The 23,041-nt window shown below is 45.8% G+C and overlaps 1 protein-coding gene and 1 long non-coding RNA gene across 4 annotated transcripts in view; one reads left to right on the top strand and one right to left on the bottom strand.

Annotated features, from left to right (window-relative positions):
* The window catches only part of LOC101929386 (uncharacterized), a 32,817-nt gene extending 10,873 nt beyond the window's left edge, over positions 1–21,944 (top strand). The window contains exons 7-10 of one of the 2 annotated variants that reach the window (XR_939920.3): positions 11,008–11,155; positions 19,894–20,023; positions 21,190–21,433; positions 21,747–21,849. This is a non-coding gene — a long non-coding RNA (uncharacterized LOC101929386). Of the gene's footprint in view, positions 1–11,007; positions 11,156–19,893; positions 20,024–21,189; positions 21,434–21,746 lie in introns of both variants that reach the window. The other variant, XR_007086263.1, reaches the window with a different exon arrangement.
* The window catches only part of ALK (ALK receptor tyrosine kinase), a 728,813-nt gene that overhangs the window by 137,497 nt on the left and 568,275 nt on the right, over positions 1–23,041 (bottom strand). The gene's annotated exons all lie outside the window — the stretch shown is intronic.

The following is a 23,041-nucleotide window of genomic DNA, read 5'->3' on the forward strand; positions in this document are numbered from 1 at the left end:
CGATGAACATGGTCATGTGATGGTTGTGTGATGATGCACCCCATACTCTGCTGATTGAAATCCTGCCGTCCGTCCAGGTCCAGCTCACAGACACTGCCTGGCACAATCCTCACACCTTCCTCCCCACCTCCATTTGGGGAGCTGCTGCTTCCATGCAACCTGCCTCCAGAACGCTTGTGCACAATCCCATCATCTTCATCAAGTTGTGTGAGCTTGGCGTTCACCCCAGGCCTAGCCAGTGCCTGGCCCCTAGGAGGGTTCATGAATGCCTGCACATTAGGTTACCTATCTTCAGTAGGCGGAATAGCAGACCCCCAAATAGACACATCCGAATCCCTGGGGCCCGTGAAAATGTTACCTATGTGGTAAAAGAGGCTTTGCTGCTGTGATTAAGAATCTTTAGCTGGAGATATTAACCTGGAATATCTAGGGTTGGGGGGTATGGGCAATGTGATCACCAGACAAGACAGTCAAAGTAAGAAGTAGGGGACTATGAGGGTGGAAGCAAGCGTTTGGAGTAGTGGGAGGAAGGGGTCACAAGCCAAAGGGTGCTGGCAGCCTCTGAAAGCTGGAAAAGTCAAGGAAGCGATTCTCCTAAAGCCTCCAGGAGGAACCTGGCCTGCCTGACATGACTTTAGTCCAGTGAAACTAATTTCATACTTCTGCCCTCCAGAACTGTAAAAGAACAAATTCATGTTGCTCTATTACGTTCGTGGTAGTTTTTACAGCAGCAATAGAGAATGAACACTCCATCGAAACCTGACTCCCGCTGAAATCCCAGACAGCCGAGGCTCCCATCACTGGGAGCCCAGAGTAGATTTAGATCCACTTCTCAGTGCTCTAATTTGTTTTTGTGACTAGACCTTTGTGGTCCCCTGGACTATTCATCTCTACCTTTTTCTTACTCACACAGAAGGAAAAACACCACTCCATTCGTTCCTGGGCCTCAAGATAGCCTAAGCAAGGTTTCCCCAGATAACTTATAGATTCTAAGTGCAGGAAAATGCACAACAAAAAATTACCCTTGAACAATACAGGTTTGGACCCACTTATACATGGATCTCACCCAACACGGATGGAAAATACAATATTTTTGGGTTTGGCAGGGCTGACTGGGCCTGTGCAGATTTGGGGGTCCTGGAATCAATCCCCCACTGTATGGAGGCCATATTCTCAGACAAACACACAGGATCAAAGTACAGAGGGAACAGGAGAACGAGATACAATGCTCATTTTAGGATGTAAAATGTCAAATTCATTTTGCAGCTTTAATTTTGGGCATCAATTCTTTACCTATCATTCATGTCCTCTTGGAAGCTAGAAGGTAAAACGCCTTTCTGCACACACTGGTGCTGGTCCCACGGAAGGTGTGGTCTCCCTAAAACAGTGGGAGAAGATGCCCCCTTGCCTGGGGAGCTGACGGGGCTGTGTCCCAGGAGTCGAGAGCACCCCAGAAGCAGCACCTGCTTGCTCACTAAACTTGTAACAACCAGGACAGGGAGTTCTATTCTTTCTACTTAGTAGGAGAAAATGGGGAAGGCCAGTGTCCTCTTTGCCCCTCTTTCAAGGCACAGGTATTTAGGATAACAAGAAAAGTTCTCACATTTGCTTGGTGATTTTGTTTCCAAATCACTTTTTCTTATGCCTTACCACAGGAGACCATTAAATATAGTTAAGACCTTATTACCCTCACTCCCAGCCCTGCCACAGAAAACATAAGTGAACTTAAAAATCAGCCAGGCGTGGTAGCTCACACCTGTAATCCCAGGACTTTGGGAGGCTGAGGTGGGCAGATCACAAGGTCAGGAGATCAAGACCATCTGGGCTAACATGGTGAAACCCCGTCTCTACTAAAAATACAAAAAATTAGCCGGGTGTGATGGCACGTGCCTGTAGTCCCAGCTACTTTGGAGACTGAGGCAGGAGAACCGCTTGAACCAGGGAGGCGGAGGTTGCAGTGAGCCAAGACCGCACCATTGTACTCCAGCCTAGGAGACAGAGTGAGACTCCATCTCAAAAAAAAAAAAAAAAAAAAAAAAAAAAAAAAAAAAAAAGTCTATGAGGTCTCCCTCAACCTCCTGAACAAATCTAGGCTATGTCTGTTTCATCCACACCTTATGTCCCAATGGGCATGGGTGTTTCACACACCAATCACCTGTCATTCCTCAAAGAGGTCTTACAGCTTCTTTTACTTTCCTTCATTCTAAAAACAGAATCCAATTGTCTGAAGTTCAAAAGCAGGGTCAAAAGAAACAAAGAAAATGCCCAGAATCCCACCACCCAGAGGCCACCATTTTTAACATCTTGGTAGATTTCTCTTTGGTTTAGTTTCTTCTGCCCATGCTTTATAAGTATGTATAGTTGTGTCATACATATAGGCCTTAAAATAATTTAGGTTGTATCACAAGCTTTTCCAAAGGTTTTAAAATTTTCCCATAAAAATCCTTTTTAATGGCTACAATATTGTGCAATATGTCCCATCATTTATTTAAACATTATTCAATGATTGGGCTGCTAGTCTGTTTATGATGACGCTTTGAAGAATATCTTTGAGCGTAAACCTTTGCCTGCACTGCAGATTATTTTCATAGGATAGATTCCCAGAAGTGGAATTACTGAATCAAAAGGTATAAACATTTTAAAGGCTCTTAATACAGATTGCCAAATTGCTTTCTAGAAGTTAATCCAATTTACACTCTTCACCAGCTGTGTTCATACAGGCACATCCCTCATACTACCTCCTGGCCAACCCTGAGTTTTACCAGAATTTTTATTTTTAACTAAAGGTATCCCTCTGCTGTTTTATTTTGGATTTCTTTGATAGCCAGTGAAGTTGGGTTTTTTTGTTTTTTTGTTTTTTTTTGAGGCAGAGTCTCACTCTGTGGCCTAGGCTGGAGTGCCGTGGTGCAATCTCAGCTCACGGCAACCTCCGCCTCCTGGGTTGAAGTGATTCTCCTGCCTCAGCCTCCCAGGCAGCTGGGATTACAGGTGCCTGCCACCATGCCTGGCTAATTTTTGTATTTTTAGTAGAGACGAGGTTTCGCCATGTTGGCCAGGCTGGTCTTGAACTCCTGGCTTCAAGTGATCCGCCCACCTTGGCCTCCCAAATACAGGCATAAGCTATCGTGCCCAGCCTCGAGGTTGAATTTTTTCTCACATTACTAGCTTTTTTTTCTTTCCAAATTTATTTTTTAGGGAATTGCCAACGTATCGATTAGGTTCTTCCTGTTTTCATACTGAGTTGTATGAGGTCATTAATAAGGATGCAAAACTATTTATCATATGCGTGACAATTTTTCCCAGTATTTTATGTATATTTTCATTCTGTTTATAATGTATTTTGATAAACAGGCATTTTAAATTTTCTGAGACAGGGTCTCTGTCACCTAGGTTGGAGCGTCATGGCGCAACCTTGGCTCGTCCTAGCCTTGACCTTCCCGACCTCGGGTGATTCTTCCACCTCAGCCTTTTAAATAGCTGGGAATAGAGGTGTGCAGCACCATGCCTGGCTGCCTTTTTTTTGGAGAGATGGGGTTTCACCATGTTGCTCAGGCTGGTCTCGAATTCCTGATCTCAAGCAATCCTCCTGCCTCAGCCTCCTGAAGTGCTGGGATTAGAGGTGTGAGCCACTGCACCCAGCCTGAAATTTTCATGTGATGCCTCCCTATTCATATTTTCCTTGGTGATTTCCTCTTCTGTATGGATGCTTACTGAGTTTGTTCCATGTGGGATCAGTAGGTCACATGTGGGTTATCCTTTGGAATCTTTGGCTTCCCCTCTCCTCTGGGGACACCTTCCACCAACTCTTCCTCTTTCGGCCCTGGGGATCTAGATCTCACCACCTCATCTGTGCCATTTTCATGGATTCTCCCCTCCATGAATGTCCCTTTCCCTTGGGTACATTACTTCTTCTTACAATTAATGTGGTAGACACTGCTACATATCATTACTATGGCTTGTATGCCTGACTTCCTCATCCAGCTGCAAGTGACTTGAAGGGGGAGGTGTCAAGTCTCACCTTCAAGAGCCTCAGACAGTGTCTGGTATAAAGATCTAAATTCTCCCTATTTGGGAATTGAACTCATCCTGTGTATTAGCTGGGGAAGGTCTCATTATGTCCATTTGATAGTTGAGAATACCAAAGCTCCGAGTGGTTAGTGGCTGGCTGAGAGACTGATGGAAACCCACTGATTTAGATCCCTTGTTCTCTATTCTTTATGCGGCCTCCAAGGAGTGGTAATGGTGGGCATGGAAGGTCAGGCTGTCAGCATCCCTGCCCTTCACCCACACACCTTGACAAAGGAGGAGGTCCAGGAGCAGGAGCCAGTGTGGCTTCCACTCTCTGATGCCCTGGATTTTGTCCCCAGGACCTGTCTTCCTGGGTGGAAGCACAGCAGCAGCCCAGAGGTGCCTACGTTTTCAGCACTGCTACCAACTCCGCCCAGTCTCCTTCCCCGAATGGAGATTTCCAGGCTCCCTGGCACGGCCTTCTCTGTCCCACAGGGAGCTTTGTGCTTGCAGAAGAGTCAATTAGATGGACGCCTGGTACTGTGATCTCTACTGCCAGCCCAAGCCCCAAACTAACGAGGCACAACAAAAAACAACGCTCTGTCTTCTCAAGTTCTGTTTTTTATGGGGCCCATAAATTCCAAGAAGGAATGTATCCTTGGTGAATGATTTTAATCAAGGGCCTGAGTTCCCAAACAGCATCTTCTCTGTGGTTATAAAATGATTGTTCTGGCCTGCGGTGTAGAGTATCCTGAGGCCCCGGCTGGCCACAGCCTGCAGAGCAACGAGGAAGGGCAGTGGCTTAGACGTGAAAAGCCAGCTCCTGTTTCCCATTGACACTTCTGATGCCTTCTGCCCATGTGGTTCCTGGTAACCACTGAAACACCTAAATGCCCTAATAGGCAAAAGTAAGGGAGATCTGAGATCAAGCCACTCTGGGAAGAGTCGGTGCTTGGGGATCTTTTATTAGTGAGGGTCCTTTCTACGGGAATTTACATATTAGCCTTTGAAATGGCACTTCCCCCAGACTAACAATGTAAATCACAGGGGGTTACCTTTATATAGCATTTTAATAGCTTACAATGTGTTTTCTTTACCCTTCGTTTGAATCTCATAAAAACTGGAAGGACCGTTAGTAATATGCTCATTTGATTAATCAGAAGACTGAGGATGTGAGAGCCTACACAATGCACAGAGAAATGATTTTTAGACAACAAAGAACTACAGAAGGTAACCAGTGACTTACTGGGTACTTTGCAAGTGGTCTCACAGCTAGTAAACCACAGATAGGGGCCCAAGACCTGGTGAGATGATCCGAGCTCGAGTTCCTCTCCCATGACTCAGATTAAATTGTCTTCTAGGAGAGGCTCCCTGACTGCCCATGGGAGTCACTTGGGAAGTAAGGAATATTTTTGATGTTCAGGCCAATGAAATCAGTATCTCTGGAGGATAGACTCTTGGCACTGGTGGTTTTAAAATTTCTGGGTGCCGTGGCTTACACCTGTAATCGCAGCACTTTGGTGGGCTGAGGTAGGTGGATTGCTTGTGGTCAGGAGTTCAAGACCAGCCTGACCAACATAGTGAAACCCCATCTCTACTAAAAATACAAAAATTAGCTGGGCGTGGTCATGGACACCTGTAATCACAGCTACTTGGGAGGGCTGAGGCAGGAGATCCCTTGAACCTGGGAGGCGGAGGTTGCAGTGAGCCGAGATCATGCCATTGCACTACAGCCTGGTGACAAAGTGAGACTGTCTCAAAAAACAAACAAACAAACAACAACAACAACAACAAACTGTTCCTCAGGCAATTCTCAGGGGCATATGGTTGAGTATCATTTCCTTGGAGGCCTGGAGATCTTGGGCTGAGATGCCTCTGTATCAGGGATGGGTTCTTCACCTTTACTATCTTCACTGTTGATCTCAAATCCTGCCTCGAAGGTCCCTTCCTTCTCTGATGTCCTGTTCTGGGCAGTAGCTGTTGGTGGTTGCATGTTTATGAGGTTGATTGGATAGAGTTAGTGTCGACTTTATTAATGCTGGCTGTTGTTAATGACTCTCCCCTGAAGCCTTCTCCCTTCCAGGGCATCTTTCCAAAGCCACACACCCAGCAAACTTGCCTCTCAGTGGGATTTCCTGTCTCAGTCATCTGTCACTTGCATCCTGGAACATCTCTCCTGAAGCAGCAGGCCACATTTGTTTGCCCATTTATCTCCTCTCTGGATATAGTAGAAATTAGTTCAGATTTGCACTGGAGACACATGTGGCCCAGGTCAGGTTACATGAATTCCTGTTCTACACCACAGGTGATTTATTGGGTTCACTCACTGAGAATGATGCCTCTTCCCTAATTATGCATTCGAAACAGAAACCCATGCATCCTCTGCTCTTTCAATCGTGTTTTAGAGATTTGATGCTACAAAACCTACACAACTCTCCTAACGCAAATTTCTTTTTTTAAACGAATGCCACATTTTAGGGCGCTTAATTTTTAATTAGGGTGATTTATGTGTCATTTTAAAAAGGCACATTTCTATCAGCTTTCTGGCCATCTCCTACCTGCTTGCTCTTGCCTAACTAATGACACTCGTTAAAGGAGGAAATTTGAGTGCTGCTTCAGTGAGAAGGGGGTCTTGCTCTTCAATTAAAGTGAGGGGAGACGACACGTGGGGGAACCTGGTGTCTAGGGGACTCAGGTCAAACCTGGGGCTGGAGCTGGAGTCTAGGGGACTGGGCCATGATCTGGACTAGGAAAATCAGGCTCTCAACAGCCTCAAGACATGAAAATGGATGGTGACATGATGAGAATGTAGTCGAGTGCACAGACTAACAGCTGCAGATTCCTTTCTGACGTTAATGGGGGTATTAGAAGGCCTGAGAACTGTGTAAATTAAGCCTGGCAGAGACCAGTCCTGCTGAGGGCTTTGGGCCTCCTCAGTTGTAGTGTGGACAACCTCATTAAAGAGCTGGCATCTTGGGTTTCTATGACTCAAAATGTAAATCAGCGAGGAGCGGGTCTTGCTATGGATGGCTGCTGGTGGGCTGGGTAAGAAATCATGATTCCGGGAAGTGGGAGAGTTAGTTTGAGGCCTAGCCTTGCCATCAGCCCTCTGGGACCATGAACAAGTCTCTTTCTCTCTGGGCCTCAGTTTCCTTGTTTGTAAACCCTCTAAAGCCAGCCATTCATAGTTGCCATGGGCTTAGGCTGTTGCATTAATGGTGTGTCCACACACGCCTATATCAGAACCACGCAGGAGCTTCCTGGGCCTGACTTCAGTCCTATAGAATCAGAGGATCTGGGTGGGGAGCTTGGAAAAAGCAGGTGCCACAGGCTCTCTGGGTGATAATTGAGTACAGCCAAGTCTGAGAACCTCTGGTGCCTGAGAAATGGATCTTTAGTTCCTTCTCCTCGCAGAGGAATTCCAAGACCTCCAGCACTTCTCACCACCCCCACCGTCTCATTGCAAGGATTTTCTCCTTGGTCCAGTATTCTCAAGAGCGCCTTTCGCCCCTAGTTTCCATGTCTGTGAATACTCTTGCAGGCCCAAGGACCCACTTTGTTCAGTTTGTGTTGATGAGCTGCCTAAGGTATAGAGAAAATAATACTAGGCTCCAGCCCCCATCTTCTACTAGCTAGTGGGGTGAATGCTGACATAGCTTGCAGTTTTCTATAAATTGGGGATGCTGCCTAATGTACAAGATTTATGTGAGGATGAAACGAAATCATGTGGACATAACAGAATACATGGGTTCTTATTATGGGCTAACTTCAGAGACTATCCTAAGGACTTTGAGAGGACCAGCTATGGAGGGTGGATGGGAAGGGGGTCAGTGAGGGGGTTACAGAGGCCAGATCTTGGGACAGAGAGAACCTTTGGGTGTCCTCATGTCACACAGTAGAGATAAGGCTCTGTTAGATCCTTGCAGCAAAACAATAACTGAAACAAATGCAAGAGTCATTTCCAACATAAATAATAGCTATGAAAAATTATACTTGCAATGATGGGTTTTCAGCATTAGTTGTCTCTGGAGTCACCTCACCACCAGAGTCAGCTTTCTGAGGTCAGCTCCTTTTTGGTCCTAATCTTACCATAAACCTTTGCTGGTTTCTGTAGCATTCAGTCCAAATCCCAGCTCTGCCATGTCCCTTCACATCTTTAGCTAAACATCGGGATGTGCAGTTCCTTACAGCCTTTGTGTAACTTTGTTCCGTTGTCTAGAATCATCTTGATCTCAACAATTCCTGCTAATTTGGATGCCACTTTCCCCAACTGCTTGCTCTTCTCTCTTGAAGAAAGACACGCATCTCCCTCTGGGGTGCTGATGCATACCTTTGGCTGTGCCTTGCCTCACTTTATTGTGTGTTTATATCTGCATTGCCAGCTTCTCCCACTAAATTCTAAATTCCTTGAGGCAGGGAGTCCATGTCACTTATTCAGTCTCCTCAAGAGTGCCTGTCACATAGCAAGTGCTAATGTATGTAGTCAAATAATACAAACCAGATCACCGAGTTTCAGTAGAAGAATGTCGTGAGGTGGGGTTTCCTTGCATTCTGCTAGGAATTACTCATTCCTTTGGGTTGCACTGCAGAAATTGCACCCACCTTCCCCAGTCTCCATTTCAATCTTTGAGCTTCTACAATGTGCCCAGCACTGGGGTGACAGTGGTGAAGAAAGAGCAACATGGCAGGTGTGGTGTCTCACACCTGTAATCCCAGCACTTTGGGAGGCTGAGGCGGGCGGATCACCTGAGGTGGGGAGTTCAAGACCAGCCTGGCCAACATGGCGAAACCCTGTCTCTACTAAAAATACAATAATTAGCCAGATGTGGTGGCATGTACCTGTAGTCCCAGCTACTTGTGAGGCTGAGGCAGGAGAATAGCTTGAACCCAGGAGGCGGAGGTTGCAGTGAACTCAGATCACGCCACTGCACTCCAGCCTGGGTGACAGGGCGAGACTCTATCTCAAAAAAAAAAAAAAGTGATGTGTCTTCTCTGTGGAGGTGATATGTGAGCTGATAGTGAAGGATGAGAGAGAATCAGCCATGAAAAAGGCTGTGGAGGAGCGGAAACTGCAAGGCTGGGGGTGTGAAAGGATGTTCCTGATCTAGAAGCAGAGCTGAGGCCAGTACGTCTCAAGAGGGTCACAGATGGTCACAGAGGGTTATGAGGGGTGGCTGCGGAGGGAGGCCAAGGCCCAACCAGGCAGGACCCTGTGGGCCGTGGCAAGGAGCATGGACCTTATTTAAGGAGTTTAGACAAGAAACTGAAAAAAATCTAAGTCTTTAGAAAGATCATTCTGAGTGATTCCGGAAGAATGGATGGAGAGAAAATGGAAGTGGGCAAACCACTTGGCAGGCTGCTGTTGTAACCGACCAAGCAAGTCACGGAGGCAGCTTGAATGAGGCTGGTGACATAGAGATGGAGGGAGGTGAGTGGATACGAAGGAGACCCTGATAGGACTGGCAGGGGGCCCGAGGTGATGGTGAGAGAGGACAACATAAAGGATGGCACTAGGGTGGGACCAGGGCTGTCTGACATGACAGAGCCTATGAGGGCTGGTTTCCAACTTCCAAATCCTAGGACAAAGTCAGTCTCCGTATAGATTTACTGAGAACCGCCAAGATTCCTGTAGGCCACCCGCAGGAAGGCAGAGTGCGTTTCATTTTTGTGGTCGGGTTCTCCGAAGGAATTAAAAATTTTCTTATTCTTTTGTAGTCTCCATAGCCCCTTTATTTTGTTGTGTGATCCTTTCCTAAGGTTTTCCTATTCAACATTTATCTTCATTGCTTTGCTGAAAACACACACCAATAATTTCATCTGTAATATTATAAATGACCTCTGTGTCTATTTTGCCATTAATCTCCCTGCAAAGGGGTTGCATGTAACCATTCTGCACCATACCTCCCCGTAAAATATGTCATTTTCTCCTCTTGTTTGTTCAGTAAACAATGCAATTTCAACTGTACCTTGGAGAACTAGTACTAATCATAAACAAATTATAGCTACTACTGAGACTACTGCAGGGACCAGGCTTTAGATTCTGCAGCAGAGAAAGCTGCTTGGAATGAGAGCAAAGGGAAGGAGGGCTCATTCAGGCTGGAGGAATAAAGACAGGAGCACCTGATCATGGGTAGTGGCCCCTTGAGACACCTCCAATGAAGGGAGCCGGGTGGATTCAGCCCTCTTAAAGCTACGCAGGAGGTCATCCTGCCCCCATGACATCCACGGTAGCCACAGTAGAAGGGCTGGCTACTTTCTAAAGAGACAAGATAGCCACCGGGTGCTGATGCCACTGTCAATCATCATAGCAATAGCTTCCACCCTCACCACTGATTGAGTGCTTACAATGTTCTAGGTCCTGTACTCAAGGCTTTATGAGCGTTATTTTATTTGGAAAGTACTTTGTAAACCACCTAGTGCTAGAAAATGATTAAGATTTCATTTTTAATATTAACCATCTGACATTTACACATGATAAACCCATAAGAGGCTTCCACACCTCCATCTTTACTGAAACGTTACCTTCTCAGCAAGGCCTTCCCTGGTGGCTTTATCTAAAATCTCTGCCTTGGCCTCTAATCCAAATCACAGATACATCGTCTCTCCTTTCCTTGCTACCTGTATAACTGAGCAATATACACCTTTCTTATTAGTGTTGTTGGTAGTCTGTCTGCCTGACTAGCACTCAGGGGATGGAGAACTTAGCGTGTGTTTCACTGCTGAATCCCCAGTGCCTAGAACAACACCTAGCACCTGGGAATCACAATAAAAGTTTCTTGAAAGAATAAGTGAATAATGCTTTTTAATAAATAATTTTGGGTAATGGATTCAGAAGCAGGGTTTATGCTTTGTTCATAATATAAAATTAGTATTTCAGAGGACTTCCACATAGCCCCAACTCCTGTGGCTATGTGTGTACAAAGCTGGCATTTGTTCACATAAAAAGCAAATCATGTAGAAGGCTCCTTGTAGTGATCATGTCCTTCTCTGTGTCTAAAGAACTTGCTCAGTGCTGCCAACTCCATTCAGGATGATGGCTGCCCACTCATACCTGCAATGGGTCATGGACTGGGAAGCTGATGAAACTGCAACTGGCATGGGCTGCTGGGAGCCACCATACATGGAGGAGAGTGATGGCTGATTCACAGTGAGTAGCGAGAGGCTGGGAGACAGTCAGCAAGGGCTTCCCAGCTGGGCCCAGTGGCATGTGCCTGTAGTATTAGCTACTTGGAAGGCTAAGGAGGGAGGATCGCTTTAGCCTTCACTGCAGGAGGTTGAGTCTGCAGTGAGCTATGATTGTGCTTTTGCATTCCAGCCTGGACAACAGAGCAAGACTCCATCTCTCAAAAAAAAAGTGCTTCCCATTCTAGGCACAAAGCCAAGTGCAAAACAGACTCCAACCTAGCAGTGTGCAGTGGATGGGCCATTCTTCCAGCTAGGGGGGAGAGGAAGCAGGGTGTCCTTGGAGGAAATGTAAGAAGGTTTGGTGTTATCAAATTTGATAGGTACAGTTCAGGCAAAGAAACCTGGAAACGGGTAGAGTCCCCTATGAAAAGATGAAGATCACTTGCTATGGCTAGGAGTCAAGAACCTCTTTGTATTTTTTAGTTTTTAGTTCTTTTCTAAGCCTCTCATGTGAGGGTCTGAACTTCTCAGAACCACAAGATTGGGAGAAACCTAATGAAGAAGGAAAACTGGATGATAGGCAGGCAGGAAGGATAAATAACAACAACGAAAATAATATTCAGCCTACTATGTATTGGGCATTTTTTGAATGTGTTATCTTTCACTTGATTCCTTCAATGAATATGACCGAAATATACAAGAAGATGACTGATTTGGTATGGTTACTATAAAAAAATAGAAATAGAAAATAATGAGTGTTGGCAAAGATATAGAGAAATTTGAACCCTTGTGTGTTGTTGGTGGGAATGTAAAATGGTGTGGCTGATATGGAAAACAATATAGTTGTTCCTCAATTCAGCTTTGAAAAGGAAATAAATTCTAACACATGCTTCCATATGGATGAACCTTGAAGACACTATGCTAAGTGAAATAAGCCAGTTTCAAAAAGACAAATGTGCCATTTCACTTACATGAGATACCTTGTGTAGTGAAATCCATACAGACAGCAGGTAGAATGGTGGTTACAGGGTCTGGGGAGAGGGAGGAATAGGGAGCTGTTTAATGGGTATGAAATTTCAGTTTGGGAAGTTAAAAAAGTTCTGAAAATTGGTTGCACAGTAATGTTGAATATACTTAAACATTACTGAACTGCACACATAGATATGGTTAAGATGGTAAATTTTATGTTATATTTTAGAGCAATTTGAAAGATGACTGATTATCCTGGCCTTGAAAATAAGCCCTAATGAAGACTGTAGGACAGGGGGAAGTCAGTGTGGCCTACTGAGAAAAGCCTGTGGCTGAGGCCCCATGCAGAGTTCAGGCTCTTCTCTTTCTTCTTTTAAATCCCCTTTCTGTTTGGTTTCCAGTGGAATCTACCGGTGTGTGAGGCACTGGATATAGCTGGAACTACAGTGCCCTGGCAGTGACGAAGCCTCTGAGCTAACCCGACACGGCTGTGTGCTCAGTGATCTTTTTTTTTTTTTTTTTTTTTTTGATATGGAGTCTCGCTCTGTTGCCCAGGCTGGAGTGCAGTGGCGCGATCTCTGCCCGCTGCAAGCTCTGCCTCCTGGGTTCGTGCCATTCTCCTGCCTCAGCCTCCCGAGTAGCTGGAACTACAGGCTCCTGCCACCATGCCCAGCTAATTTTTCTTATTTTTTTTTAGTAGAGATGGGGTTTCACCATGTTAGCCAGGATGGTCTCGATCTCCTGACCTCGTGATCCACCCACCTTGGCCTCCCTAAGGGCTGAGATTACAGGCATGAGCCACCGTGCCTGGCCGATCTTTTTTTTAAAATTTAAAAATTTTTTTTTTTTTTTTTGAGACAGGGTCTCATTCTGTCATCCAGGCTGGAGTGCAGTGGCACGATCATGGCTCACAGCAGCTTCAGCCTCCTGGGCTCAAGTGATCCTCCCATCTCAGTCTCCCAAGTAGCCTGGATCACAGGTGTGTGTCACTGCATCTGGCTAAGTAAAAAAAAAAAAAAAAATTTAGAGATGGGGTCTCCCTATTTTGCCCAGTCTGATCTTGAACTCCTGGGCTCAAGCAATCCTCCTGCTTTAGCCTCCCAAAGTGTTGAGATGATAGGCATGAGCCACCGCACCAGGCCACCTGAGTGATCTTAAACCTGGCATTAGCCTCTCAGCCTCAGTCCGCTTATTTATGAAATGATGGGGTTGGACCAGGTGAGCTCTGAGGGATGTTTCTCCCTGCGCTGTGGTTCAAGGTCTCAGCCAGCAGCAGGGAACAATGGAGATGAGTTTCCATGTGCAGGAAGAAAGTGTTAGGGGAGGGTCTGGTAATGGTGATACATGTGGATGACAATTTGGAAAGCATATGGGGAGACTCTCAGCTCAGCTAGAATCCTCTCAGCCCTCAATCTTGCTACGAAGTACAGGCAGATGGCACAAAGGGCTGCTTCAGACTGGCAGGTCCCCAGGTACACAGGACTCCATTTCCACTTTTACAAGTCTTTCTCAAACACCAGGGGGATTCTGCCAGGTACTATATTCTCTAGAGTGAAGAGCTACTAAGCAGAGTCTACAATTTCATTTAGGGAAAAAAGGTGAGAAAACAGACAAGACTTGATGGGAAAAATCTCTGAGGACACCTAGAGGAAACATTCATGCCCACAGGTCTTGGACTGACTGGCCAAGTGACAGGGGCACAAGTGTCTCCTACATAGTAGGTATTCAATAAATAGTAGACAATGAGGAAAATGTGGATGACAATCTTCAGGCCATCCTGTATACTAGGACAGATATTTTGGCAATTAATAATAAAAATACAATAAGTGCTAAAATAGGTGTGTGTTTTGGCTGTTTCAAAACTTAACTGCAAATTCTTTAAAAATCCTCTCGAGAGGACTATGGAGAGATGGAGACTTTGGTATTCTTCTCATGAGTCGGGCAGGCTCATGACTGCTTGGACTAACAGCATATGATGGAAGCCACCACATAACTTTTGAGGCTAGATCATAAAGACTGTGCAGCGTCCTCCTTGGTCATGGATACATCTGGCCTTGGAGCCTGGGGCATGCATGTAAGAAGTTTGACTCCCTCAAGGCTACCATGCTAGAGAGGTCAGGTGTAGGCACTCTGGCGATAGTCCCAGTTGAGCTCAGCCCTCCTGCCATCATTTTCAAGGCAGCAGACATGCAAGCAAAGCCATCCTGGAGCCCACACACCTCTTGATCTGCCAGCTGAATCCAATGCATGACCTGTCAATGCCATGTGGCATGAAAAAGTTACCTGCCCAAATTCTTGTCCCACACAATTGTGAAAAATGATAAAATGGTTGTTGTTTTTGCTACTATGCTCTGGAGTATTTGTTGCTCAGAAATAGATAACTGGGATGTCTGAATGATAGGCACACAGAGAAGGAGTGTCCAGCCAGGGGGCAAAAGAAGGCTCTAGGAAAGAGATAACACTTGAGTTATCCTCAAAGAGTGGGTAAGAATTCTAAACAAAAGAGAAAAGATAAGGGAACTCCAGGAACAGATGATGCCATGCTCAGGGAATAGTGACTTGTCTGTGTGACTTTAGTATGAGCTGTGTGAAGTGATGGTCAGATTCAAACATTTTATTAGGTTGGTGCAAAAGCTATTTTGGTTTTTGCCATTATTTTTACTTTTAATGGCAGAAACTGAAATAGCTTTTGCACAAAATAGCTTCATCAAATTAGCAAAGACTTGAAAATAATACCCAGGCCGGGCGCAGTGGCTCACATCTGTAATCCCAGCACTTTGGAAGTCCTAGGCAGGCAGATGTCTTGTGCCTAGGAGTTTGAGACCAGCCTGGGCAACATAGTAAAACCTTGTCTCTACTAAAAATACAAAAAAATTAGCTGGGCATGGTGGCACACGTCTGTAGTCCTAGCTACCTGGGAGGCTGAGGTGGGAGGATCACCTGAGCCTGGGAGTTCTCCTCAGAAGGTCGAGCCTGTAGTGAGTTGTGATCTCAGCACTGCAATCCAGCCTGGGTGACTGAGTGTGAGACCCTGTCTTAATTTAAATAAATAAATAAATAAATAAATAAATAAATAAATAAATAAAAATAATACTCAGTCCTAGCAAGGATGTAGTGAGTTAGGGACTCTTACATACTGCTGGTGAGAAGGTGAACTGGGAGAACTTTTCTAGAAAAGTTTGGCAGTATGTTTTAAGAACCTTAAAAACTTTGTATTTAAGACCTTTGAACCCCAAGGTTCCACTTTTAGGAAACTTCCTTGAGGAAATAGAGTTATCAGACGCTTAGATCTAAAAAAACTCATAGCAGATTATAATACCATGAAAGCAAAAACAAAGAAACAACATCCCCACAGACAGGGAAACAGTAATAAAAGCTCGTACCCCTGTGTCACACAAGGGTGTTTTTGAAGAACCCTTATTAACATGAGAAAATTTTCATAATAAATTAACTAAAAAGAAAACCAACCAGCCAACCAAACAAGCCCAATGCACCTGTATCTAAGACTGTTGGAACAGCATAGCAAAATCCATTTATATACACAGAAAGGAAAACTAGAAGGAATGTATGTCAAATTGTTAACCATAGTTATCTCTAAGGGAGAGGATTATGAATGCTTTGAGCTCTCTTTTCTAAACCTTTCTGAATTTCTGTGTCCTATAATGGACATATATAACTTTTACAATCAAAAAAAGGAAGTAAATTTCTCTAAAAGAAGCATGAGTGAGTCAGTCCTTCTTTTTCCTTCCTAGGCTGATGCTTACATTCTGACGACCCCAATTCACCCTGTTTCTATTCCAATACATGACCTGTATTTCTATTCACAAAACTCTTCCAAGCCCTTTCATGTCCACTATCTCATTAGTTTCTCTCAATCAATCCAGGAAGCAGGCAGGGTGAGGATTGCGTCTATTTTCAGAGGGGAAAAAAAGATCCACAGGAAGGTACCAATTGAATGCAGTCTGCTTTATTTTCAGAGATCCACAGCTCATTCACACCCCTGACCCACTCCCTACAGCATCCTGCAGAATCAGGGCTGGTCCAAGTGTGGACAGCCATGGGGATGGGGAGACAGACCTTACCCAGGCCTGGGCCACCAAGCTGTTGGCATCTCTCAGGGCCACCAGCATCCCCGAAATGCCCACCAGGCTGGGGCGAGGTTTCTGAATCACACTGTAGACCCATATTTCTGACAGAGGCACAAATTGCTACTTCGTTTCACAGTGAATCTCAACATCTGATTTCCATTGACAGTTAAATTAACAAATCAACTAAATACCGATATGTTTTATGTCCCGTCTTATGCCAGATTTATTGTGATCCCGGCATGACACAATGCAGAAGAGTTTGGATTTACTGGCTCAGGGGTAAACTGTAGATTATTCACTGCGTCCATTTCACTGGCTGAACCAGGAAGCAATTCCTGGGTCCATCTGTCAGAATCTCTGAACTGGGAGGAGGAGAAGAATGAAGCACGGACAGCTGACCAGCCAGGCAGTCCCCAGAGCTGCCATGCACTCTGCAGCACGCTTCCTGGGTCTTCATTCCAATCAGTGGGACAGTTTCACGCATAAATCCTTACCCGATGGTCAGATGTGGTCTCCATCTGCTTTCCTGACCTCACTTGTCTTCTTTAAAGAGCAGCGACTCAGAATAATAAAGATCTTTATTTGCATAGCACTCTCCGTTTTTTGTAGTTCAAGGTACATGATTTCAGTTAATACTGAAAACAACTCTATGACATGGAACTGTCACCCCCATTTATAGATGAGAAAACTGGCTCAAGGTCACATGGGTGGTAAGAGGTAGAGAGGAACTAGAACCGTGGTCTCCTGGCTGCCAGTTCAGGGCTTCTCCTAGAACATTCTAAGAGTGGGGTCTCTGGCCCTGCCTGAGGAGAGAGATCCTGGCCATTCCTCTGAAACTCTGACACCCTCTTTCTGCCTAGAATCTGGTTTTCCAGGTGGGCTACTGGGCTGATGGAGGAGGTGAACCAACTCATTTCCATGAGCACTTGGAGGAACACTGCACAGGACCACTAAATGCCGTCCTTTGGTTTGGATGGGGTGGGGTGTGAATGGTCAGGAAGTGGCAGGGCTCATACTCTGAGCTGCTGGGAGCAGTCTGCCGTTGAGACCTTGGTCTCTTTCATAGAGGACATAGGGGAGATTTAGCTCCAACTTTGTGTCATCAAGCAAAGAATTTGGGAAGTCTGTGTCCTTTCACTTCTTTTTAATTATAAAATAACTGGCTGTATGGTCCCATCCACTCCTAAGATGCAGGGAATACTTGGGCAGTAAAATGAAATGATAGAGATGTATTAGGTGGGGACTCTCCAGCCTGGGAATATTGACTGCTCAGTAAATAAGCAGCTGCCGATCTAGCTCTTTCCATCTGAAGAAAGTGCCTTTCAGGAGGCACAGATAACCTTTGCAACTATAACTGGGATTTACTCTAAGAAAGTAGTTCTCAAACTTTAGCATGCATCAAAGTCATGCTTCTTAACACCCCCGGAGTTTCCGATTCAGTAGATCTAGGATAGAGCTTGATAATTTGCATTTTTAATTATGCAAATTACATTGGTGCTGGTTCTGGGACTACACCTTAAGAACCTCTGCCATGAGGGTTTTGCTGCAAGGGACAGCTGTAGGGGTTTGCTGTGTCTTATTAAAACCTTTCCCATCAACTTGATACAGGCTGAGAACTGGTCTTCAAGGACAACAGGGCTGAAGGAGTTGCTTCTTCTCAGAGACAACATGATCTGTGTCAGGCTGGGCAGGGGTGGAATGCATGAGTTGTAGGATTCTGCCCCTACCCTAGTGAGCCCAAGTTGCTCCATCTCTCCTAGGCTGACTTGGCATACTCGACCCAGCCAGATTGTCCCCCAGGGTGGTCCATCTGGGTCTGCTTATGAGAATGAATGAACTGTGTCTGTAAAGTGCTCACAGCTCTCTGGAGAGGGTATCTTAGCACAATTACCATAATAATAAATGCTTTCTGTTCATTTGGTATTTGTGCATCCTCGGGGCACCCAGGGGCTCAGCTCATTAAGGCTCTACAACTTGGACAAACAGGTTGGTAGGAAGCGAGGTGAGAAGCTGGCCTTGTATCAATAGTGTCATTCCATGTTTAAAAAGCCAAAGCTTAGAAATACCAATTCACAAGGTCAGTTGGGCCATTTCAGTTAGCTAGTGAGTAGCAGGACGAGGGCAGGACACTGATTGTTTATAGGAAAGCAACAAATGCTCACAGCTCGTATGGTAAGCATCATAGTTTAAGAAACACTTTGACACATGTTATGAAATTCAATCTTTATAATAGTCCTGTGAGGTAGAGATGAAGTCAGTTTGGTTCTTGTGCAGATCACATAGAAGGAATGAGGCAGAACTGAAGGCAGCTCACATTCTGCTATTTACAGCTCCCATCGTAAGGACGGACTCCTAATTCAATGCTCTATTATGTTATCAGTGTTCACTGAGTACTCTCCATTAAAGGGACCCAGATTCAATCAGGACCTTTCAGTGGCTCTGACGACACGCTGTCTGAGTTTAACTGTTGGCTCCATCACCTACTTGCTCCGTAAGATTGGGAAGTGGTTTATCCTAAGACTCAGTTTCTCGAATGTACAACGGGGATAATAAGAGTACCTTCTTCATGTGGCCTTTGTGAAGAGCAAATGAATTACTGTCCATCAAGTTCTTAGTGGTGCCTAACACAGAGTAAGTCTTGATGAATGTTGGCTGCATTACTAGCTCAGTCCCCACTCCAGCTGAAAGGGGTTGCAGGGTCGCCCTCTCCATCGGCTCAGGGAAGACAGTAGAGTCTGCCTTATTCTATGGGCTCACTGGGTCCTAATTACTGGGAAGCAGTGGTTTCCCTGGCCTGTGTTGCAGCCTGCCACTTTGTTCTTGACCCTGCTCTGACTGGTGTTCTTGACAATAGGCCACAGGCTGGGTTTTGGCCTCTGTTTGTTTGTAGCCTCATCAGGGGAAAGTCATTTCAAACTGCTTGTTTGTGATTGCTGCCTCATAGGCTGAGATTCGTGGGGCAACACTGGCTTAATAGTCCATTGCTAGTCACAGTGGGGAAATCAGAGTGCATTATGCTAAGGCAGTTGGCATGGCGGTAGGGGGCAATGGCTGAAGAGAGACGCTCATCTAGACACAAAACAACTCCGCTTCCAGGAAGCAGGGATCCTCTGTACCTGGGCTGTTTTAAATACTCTAGTGCAAAAATCAGGGCAGCTTGCTCTGGCCAAAGGCCTCCCCTTTCATTATTTCCAGCTCTGGAGGAGCACCCTGCAGGTGGTATGAAGGATGTGCAGAGTGGACAGGTGACAGCTCATAGGCAGGAGCTATGTCTGTCAGCTGGAAGAAGGATGGAGATGTGGTTTACACACCAAACCTAGGATGTGCCCTGCTCAGGGAAGAGCAGCCTGCAATGTACAGTGCGACTGTGGGGAAGACTCCAAACTGGATGAGTAGAACCAGGACCTGCTGGGTCCTGTCACCATGGCTACAGTGAGGGCTGGTCAGGAGACACCTGGCTGGGAAGTTCAGCCTGCACAAGGCAGGAATCACTGAAACAGGAATGTTACCCACTCAAGGTAGAGGGAGGCAGCTCAGAGCCTGGAGAGCAATGGATAATCAGCAAGAACCATCTCTAGCAAGCAGGGCTGATAAACTGCTGCTCTCAGGGTGAAGGTTTGGGCAACTGGCTTAGTCTTTCCAAGTCTTACTTTATGTATGTGTAAAATGGGCATAAATAATCCCGGTCCTGTCTATCCTACAGGGTTTCTGGGATTAGAACTATCCTGATACATAACTCCAGAGCATTCTATGTGAGGTCTATCGGGACTGGTTGAAGGGATAAGATGGAAGCCACAAAGAAAATCTTGTGAATGTGAAGGAATTGGGCCATTGTAAGTGACTGTATTATTTTATTCTGCATGCTGCATGAGAATAGCCTTGGGCCACCAGACATTTGTTGTGGCCAGTGAAAGGCTAGTGGCCCCTTGGTGATCCCTATGGCCATTGGATCTGGAGAGGGGACTGGCAGATGTGGAGATCCTGGGAAGATCCTTCCATTGACCTGAGCACCTGAGTCAGCCTGCCCCACCTCTGTGGGACAGAGACAGCTGCCACTGGCTCTGGTCTTGCTCAGTTTCTGTTGGCTCTCAGGGGCCTTCTAGGCTTCTCAGTGGTGCTGTGCTTCTGAACCAGAACCTCCTGAGTACCTGCTGTAGAGTAAACTCAGTAATGACAGAGTCCCAAGAAACCAGCAGCGACCATTTACGGAGCACCTGCTCACAGGCAGTCACTGAGCAAGTCCCACTGGACCCACTGTTTGTCATTTTATCCTCCTACCAACCCTGTGAGTAGGTATTATCATCTTTGTTTAACAGATAAAGACACTCAGGCCCAGAGAGGTTAAGCAACTTGTCCAAGGTTGCAGAGCCAAATTTGAACTATAGCTTGCCTGCACCTGAGTCTAAGGAATTTCTGCTACATGTGTATCTCCCAAACTGTTTTCTGCAAAAACACTGGTTCTGGGAACTGTTTTTGGTGCTTCATGAAAAGATTATTTTGTGGGAATAAGTTTGGGAAGGCTGCATATTCTATTTTACTCTTGGAGATTCATATTGTACATTAGCAAATTAAAGGCTCTGAGAAACCCTGGACTGGAGAAATTTGGGCAACATTTAAAAACCCAACATTCATTGCTCCTATTTGAACATGGGACACGTTTTCACCACAACAGTGTTGGGAAACACTGAGTTATATTGTGGCTTCTATTTTGAATTAACATATAGAGTTATTAAAGATAGATGAAAAATACTTCTGTTCTTTTGGGATCTTATATTTTTGTGGGGGTGAAGACATATCTGAAACTGAGGAGAGATGTATGGAAGCTTAGAGAGAGGACTGGCTCATTCTCCCTGAAGGCTTCACAAAGCAGTGAAGCCTTTGTGCTTCACTTGGGCTGGGCCATGACAGGTCAGCAGGGATCACCCGATAATGACACAGGGGAGGCATCCCAGACAAAAGCGTTAACTGCATGCTCACTCCTCCTCCCTTCATTGTCCAGGGACCAGTCCTCTGCTCAGAGTTCCTGCATCCTGGGGGCCACTTCTGAACCAGACCATGCCCACTCCAGCCACCACAGATCGAGCCACGGGCAACCAATTACTAGACTGGCCACACCTGTGACTTGTGTGGTTCCGCCTTAAGAGATAGACTGGAGCAATCAGATTCTCAGTTTGAGAAATCTGATCAAACACATGGAAAGACTTGCTGATTTATGGTGATGATTGCAGCTGCAAAGTCTTGAGGTAAGGCTGGAGAGGCTAATGTGGGCCAGGTATAATTCAGTTAACTCCATGGGAGGCTGGTGGTAGGGTGGGAGAGGCAGACCCAGACTCCTAAGCAGAGTACCCTAGTTGGAAGAAGAAGCACCAGAGAGAGAAGTGGCACTTAACTGGGGCTGAGACAGGTGAAGAGCAGAATGCTGGCTTTAAGATCCCAGGACTCTCCTGTTTGGGGGTCCCTGCAGCTCTAGGTATGCAGAACCTTCTCAGCTCTGGCCACAGTGAAACCAATCCTATCATCAGCCCTAGCCCTGGCAGCCACTCTCTCTTCTTCCAGCTGCCCCGTCATAAGGAGTAGGAGATGATGACCATCTTGGAGGAGGGAGATGCTGTATCCTGGAGAGGCCACTGGGGTAGGAATCGGCCATCTGTGCTCCGCTTCAAGTTGTGCTACCGATTAGTCACATCACTTCACATCTGTGCTGCACCCTCACCCTCACTGCTAAACTGGTGACAATAAAGATTGTGGGGAAGAGCACATGAGATGTATATGTGAAAGCCCTTTGTAAACTGTCAGGAGTGGCATAGATTTATTACTGTTACTGGTTGTGGAAATGTATGTAGAGAGGACAGGCAGAAATGCCTTTAAAATCTGTGTGGGGCCTGTAATACTTGCCGGAGCCAAGCAGGCTGGTCTCCAGCTGCTAGGGCCACGTGGTCACGAAAGAAGTGCCCTGTGTAGGCCACGGCTTGAGGCCCTCCCCAACCTTGCTCTCCTACATCACGCCCAGAATGTTCCATGCCTGCCTTGTGGCTGTGGTGAGTATGCTAAAGCAAAGATACAGAGGACAGAATCTCAGGCTCAGAGGTCTTTTAGACAGGCAACATCCAATTATCTGGGAAAAGAGAGGTCCAGAGAGGGTTATGTGATATTGTGACGTTGACCGATCAATCAGTGGTCAGTGAGCAGGCACTTCCAGATCCATCTGCAGAGGAATTGTCCCAAGACACCTAGGCTGTAGTGGTAGAGAGGCAGGAGAGGCCACAAGATAGAGGCTGTGGGGTAGTGAGGAATAAGAGGGTTTGTGGGAAGTGGGCAGAGTCCAGAAAGGGTTGAGGGATGGGAGTGAAACTGCCTTTGCAAAAATCATAACTGATAAAATTATGACAGTGAAAGAGATCTGACCTGATTCCATTTTGCTTCTAACCTACAAGCTGTCATTGTTCATTCCTGGGTGCAGGAGAAACTAACTTCGGGAAGAACTCAGTTTGTAGTTTAACTTTGAAACAAAGACAGTAACAGCCCTTTCCCAAAACAAACCTCCTTCTTGCCTGGGGACCAGACTGCCTTTGTAGGACTAACAGACTAGCTACAAGATTAGAAATTATTGTTTAGGAGTCATGCAGCTGGAGGCTGCAAGATTCTGAACCTCCTCAAATTGCTCCTGGGGACAACATCACTATTGTAAAACCTAAAATCAATGCTTGAGATATTTGCAGACCCTCTACTCAATGGATCATCTGGCACCACCCAGATCAGTAAACTGGCCCATCTGTTCTTGTGGCCCCATGTCCTCCATCAGGCCCTGCCTGTGCTTAGAAGAGCTTCAGGTCTGGCTGTGTGCTACTCCA

The sequence above is a fragment of the Homo sapiens genome, chromosome 2, assembly GCF_000001405.40.
Source record: "Homo sapiens chromosome 2, GRCh38.p14 Primary Assembly".
NCBI classification, from domain to species: Eukaryota; Metazoa; Chordata; class Mammalia; order Primates; family Hominidae; genus Homo; species Homo sapiens.